Source organism: Homo sapiens, chromosome 21, assembly GCF_000001405.40.
Source record: "Homo sapiens chromosome 21, GRCh38.p14 Primary Assembly".
Classification (NCBI taxonomy): Eukaryota; Metazoa; Chordata; class Mammalia; order Primates; family Hominidae; genus Homo; species Homo sapiens.
This window is the reverse complement of record NC_000021.9, coordinates 5,910,450-5,916,593: the sequence shown is the minus strand read 5'-3', so window position 1 is coordinate 5,916,593 and position 6,144 is coordinate 5,910,450.

The window sequence follows — 6,144 nt, the reverse complement described above, 5'->3', positions numbered from 1 at the left end:
GATCTCTCCTGGATTACGTTTCCGGGCCCGAGACACCCTCCCAGACAATCCCCGCAGCTCTTCAACCAGTGTCCCTGGGGAAAAGATGATCAGTTCTCAGAAAACATTCAGACAGGCAAGAACATGCGCTCACGTAAGCACATGACAAGTATACAACTTTATATGTGATAGTGAGCTTTCTTTTGCAAAATGTCTTCGTGATGCATTTCACTACATAGTATTGTTGAAAACATCAAATTATAGGAGTGAGCACAGTGGCTCAAGCCTGTAATCCCAGGACTTCTGAAGACCAAGGTGGGAGGCTGGATAGAGGACAGGAGTTTGAGACTAACCTGGGCAACACATCGAGAGAGATTACCACTACTTAAAAATATTGCCCAGCATTGTGGCACATGCCTATATTTCCAGCTACTCAGGAAGCTGAGGCAGGAGGATTGCTTAAGCCCAGGATTCAACGTTGCAGTGAGTGAGCTGTGAACAGGCGACCAGAGTTTTTTTGTTCTCTACAGCTTACATTTTCAATAACGGTTGCCGCTAGTTGTCGCCCAAAGACAACTAAAACACGTGTCATCCTGGAATACGTGGGATCCCTGATGGAGGGGTGGGTGAGGAAGTAGGAGGGGACGGAGGCACACGGAGTCGCCCATTTTCTCATGATTCCCGTTGGACTACTTTTCTGGGTGCAGAGCATCCTCCCAGAAAGTCCCCAAAACCATTCAACCAGAGCTCCTGAAAAAAACAGTCGCACTCTCTGCCCATCGGATCATCCGGAATTTCCATTTATCCATTGAGAAGAATGCTCCATTGGAGTTTGGCGCAGGTTACGGTTACAGGCAGGGGCTGCCTCAGACAGAAGTCTAGTCTACAGAGTTTCACAGTAGACCCTAGGTTCAATCTCTCCCAAACTCAGAGTAGCAATATCTGTCACAGTAGAATGAAGTGCATGAAATGCGTGCTCCGAAGAAAGCGTGTTTCACACAGATGATTTGCACACTTATTCTTGTCCCTAGGCCAGTTGTTTCTTCCAAAATACCCATTACTCAATCGTTCACCCTCTCGTGAACCACTTAGGAATCTTGTTCTATGAATCCTGGAGCTTCAATATTTGACATCTTCAGAAGAACATGAATGCTATCCTAGCCTGGTAGCAATAAGGTACCATTTCTCAGAAAACACGCACCTATGCACACAAGCAAGCATGTATACACACATGCCCGCATCATATCTATACAATTTTACACTGTGATAGTGAGCTTTCTTTCCCTAGATAACTTCGTAATTGCTTTCGCTACATAGTATTGTTTAAAATATCAAATTATAGGTGCTGGGTGTGGAGGTTTGACTCTAGTCAAAGCACTTTGCAGGCAAAGCTGGGAGAATCGCTTGAGGTGGGGAGTGTGAGAACAGCCTGGAAAACATAGCAAAATCTAATCTCTACTAAAAATAAAACAAAATTAGTTAGGCGTTGTGGGGTGCACCTATAGTCTCAGCTACTTAAGAGGTTGAGGCAAGGATTGCTTAAGAACAGGAGTTTGAGATCCTATGATACTCACTCCTGCAACACTGCTGTGGCCCATGAATTGGCTACATGACCAATGACACGGAAGGAACATGATTACAAAATTCCTGGCAAAAAAAAAAAATAGAAAAACTTTTGTGGATAAACTTCTCTCACTGGGTAAATTACATAAAGATATGTCTGTTCTATATGAATCCCTACTAAGGGGTAACCGTATCAGAGCATGATTTTGATAATGATGTGGACAGAATGTCTTGTTCCGTGAGTATGGGTCATTCTTACTTCCCTGTCACCCCCATCATCACCCAATGGGCTTATAAACAAGGTGAACATAGTAGCAGAAATAGAAGCAATGCACGGGCTAAGCAATATGAACTTTGAATCCCAAAGGCCAGTCTGGCTACAGTCAATTCTGAATGTTTAATTTGACAGCAGCACAGATCTACACTGAGTCTTTGATATGACATCATTTCCAGGGTGATCCACCAGGCACCTGGTAGTAAATTTATTACGTTGAATAACTTTTATAATATAGGCGGCAACAGTTTGTACTCACTGGAGTAGGCTCTTACTATGGATACAAATTTGCTTTCCCTGGGTGGAATTCTGCCAAAACTACCCTCCATGGACTCACAGAATCCCTCATCCATCCCTATGATATTCCACTTAGCATTGCTCAGACCAAGAAACTCACTTCACAGCCAAAGTGTAGCAGTGTGCTCATCTTCACGGATGTCAGTGGACTTACCATGCTTTCCATTATCTGGAAGCAACTGGATTAATAGAATGATAGGTTTGTCAGCATTTCCAGCCACCCTAACACCTATATCTCCCTGTGCACCCTAAGGGACTCCACAGAATGGTGAATTAGATACATATATCCAAAGGAACTACATACATTTGTGTTCCCCCATCCAAACCTCCAATCGTATGTAGTTTAATATTTAAAGTTGCTGAAGTTAGCTGTAGACAAAGGACAAAAATTAGAAGTGCAGAGGGAATGGGTTCCTTCATGTGGGTAAAGGAGAGACTTACAAAACCTGCTTAATGTGGCTTTTTGCAGTCTTTTTGCTGCTCACAGCTGAACCACATGAACTTCTACTGTTTTGGACTCATCCAAACCTCAACATTAGCTTTAAGAGCTCCTTGATTTTCCAGCAGGAGAAAAGTGAACATGCAAAGCTCTCAGGTTCATTGTTATAATCCTCTCAAGGATCAGTCTCATTAGCAGACAGCAGAGTCTTGATCTCTTGCTTCACCAAACTAACCACTTGGCCGAGAGAATTTGCTGTTGGTCCTGGGGGAACTTCTCATATCCCTTGCAAGCTCTTCAAGTATTTGTTCCTTTTCCCCTTTCAGAAAGTTGTGTTTATCTCAGCATGCCATAGTCATCTCCAAAATTAAATAATTGTGACGTATCTAAGATTTTATAGCATTTGTAAACAACATATTAACCTTCCATTTTCATCGATGCTGGTAGAAGGCATGAGACACTGAAGTATGAAAAAAAATACCTACTATTTACTGCTTACCTGGAGGCAAAAGCCTCATATTTGTATTAGTTCTCCTTGTCCATACTACGTTTTTTGAAGGATTTCAAAAGGCTCATATGGACATTGTACATGGGGAAGATTTGTGTCATAGCTGAGCAGACTCAAGACTAAGAAACCTCAATCTTTTTAAAGTAGGTTACATGGAAGCCTGTCCAACCTTTGCGTCACAAAGAAAAATTGTCTTTATTATATTGATTGAGTAATTTATCTGCCATTCACCTGAAGAGAAAAACTACTACCCTTTTTCCAGGTTATTTGTGTACAAAAATCTTTGAAAAATAACGTGGAACAGGACAGGTATGTGATGTAATCCACAACAAAACAACAAACTCTAAGAGACTTGTGGAGAACTACATCTCAGTAGCATGCATCTTTCCCATTAAATGTTGCACTAAGCAATCCTGTGATAAAAGACAATCCATTGAAGACTTTCGACATGAAGACTAACCTCGGTTGTTTTGTGTCGTGGGATTGTTCAAGTGATTCTCCAGTGTCAGCCTCCAAAGTAGCTGGGAATACAGTCTCCCAAGACCACGCTCAGCTTATTTTTGTATTTTTAGTAGAGGCGGGGTTTTACCATATTGGCCAGACAGGTCTCGAACTCCTGATCTCAGGTGGTCCGCCTGCCTTGGCCTCACAAAGTGCTAGGAATATAGGCATGAGCCTCCGTGCCCGGCCCCAGAAATGAAAGTTCTAGTGCGCAGTAATGTAATTCTGACAGATAAATGACAGGTGAGAGTAAGTGAAAAATCTAACACAATTTAACATTTTTACATATTTAGACATATTGAAATTGGTTAGCTTATTGGAAAAAGTTAAATGACTAGTAATATATACAGCATATTTATTCTGAATGAATTGCTAATCTAGATTTGAGACATGAAATAATTATTTTTACAACACAGAAACATAAACTGCATTTCCATATACAATTAACAATTTGACAGTAAATTAAGAAAACAATTGTTCGCAACAACATTAAAATAATATAATTCTTAGCAATAAATTTAATAAGGAGGTAAATATCTTGTACAATAAAAAATACAGGATCAGAATGTTTATGAAAAAAACTAAAAAGGACTTAAATAACTGGCAACAAATTCCATGTTCCTGAACCGGAAGATTTAATGAAGTTAAGATGACAATACCACTGCCCAAAGGAGTGTACAGATGTACTGTAATCCCAAGTTTTCATTTTTCCAACTTTTCTTCTGCAAAAAGAAAATAGCTCATTTAAAACTTCATATGGAATTTGAACATCCTCTGAATGTACAGAATAATCTTGAAAAGAAGGACAAAATTAGGTGGCTCACAATTTTAAATTTGAAAACATAAAAAGCTACTAAAATTATAACAGTTTGATAGTGGCATAAGAACAATTGTGGAGATCAAATAAATAAAATAGATACTCCAAAAAACCCTTTCATAAATTATTGTTTGTCTTTTTAAAAGTGTGTCTTAATCATTATGTAAAGACAGTTTGTTACACAAGAAATGCTGGGAAAACAAGTCCACATTTAAACCAGTAAAGTTGAATCTTTATCACATTCCAAGTAGAAAAATTAAATAAAAATTGATTAAAGATATAAAAACAAGTGTTAAACTTTAGTGGTTTCTAATAGTTGTTTTTATTTAACTGGGGACAGCACTAACATGAACAACTTTATACACACAAACTAGAAAACTTTAACGAAATAAATAGATTCCTAGATATACACACTCTCTCAAGATTAAGCCAGGAAGACAATGATTTCCTGAACAGACCAGTAAAAAACTCTGATATTAAATAGGTAATAAGTAGCTTGCCAATCAAAAAAAAAAGCTCTGGACTTTATGGACTTACAGCCAAATTCTACCAAATGTACAAAGAAGAGCTGGTACAATTCCTACAGAAACTATACCCAAAAATTGAGAAGGAGGGTCTTCTCCCCAACTCATTCTATGAGGACAGCATGATCTTGACACCAAAACAGGCAGAGACACAACAAAAACACAAAAAATTAGCCGGGCTTGGTAGCAGACACCTGTAGTCCCAGCTACTTGGGAGGCTGAAGCAGGAGAATGGCGTGAACTCAGGAGGCAGAGATTGCATTAAGCAGAGATCGCGCCAGTGCAATCCACTCCAGCCTGGGCAACAGAGGGAGACACCGTCAAAAAAAAAAAAAAAAAGAAAGAAGGGAAAGAAAACTTCAGGCCAACATTCTTGACGAACATCAATACAAAAGTTCTCAACAAAATATTTGGGAGGCAAATCCAGCAGCACATCAAACAGGTAATCCGTCATGATCAAGTAGGCTTCCTCCTTAGGACGCAAGGTTGGTCCATCATGTGCAAATCAATAAATGTAATACATTACATAAACAGAACTAAAAACAAAAAAAAGATGATTATCTCAATAGACGCAGAAAATAATAAAAGCCGTCTATAAGAAACCCACAGCCAACAATGTGTTGAATGGGCAAAAGCCGGGAACATTATTTTTTAAAACCAGTAGAAGGCAAGAATGCCCTCTCTTGCCATTTCTATTCAACTTAGTATTGACAGTACTGACCAGAGCAATCAGGCTAGAGAAAGAAATCCGAAGAACATCCAAATAGGAAGAGAGAAAGCCAAACTATTTCTGTTTGCAGATAACATAATTCTCTATCTAGAAAACCCTGTAGTTTCATCTACAAAGCTTCTTTAGTTAACAAACAGCTTCAGCAAAGTTTCAAGATACTAAATCAATGTGCAAAGATCACTAACATTTTTCTACACCAACGATAGCCACACTGACAGCAAAATCAGAAAGGCCATCCCATTCACAATTGCCACTAAAATAATAAAATATCTGGAAATGCAGCTCACCAGGGAGGTGAAAGAGCTCTACAATGAGATTTACAAAACACTGCTCAAAGAAATCAGAGAAGATACAAACAAATGGAAAACCATCCCATGCTCACGGATAGGAAGATGCAATATCACTAAAATGGCTATACTTCACAAAGAAATTTACAGATTTAATACTATTTCCATCAAACTGCCAATGAAATTTTTTACGGAGCTAGAAAAAACTATTTGAAAACTCATATA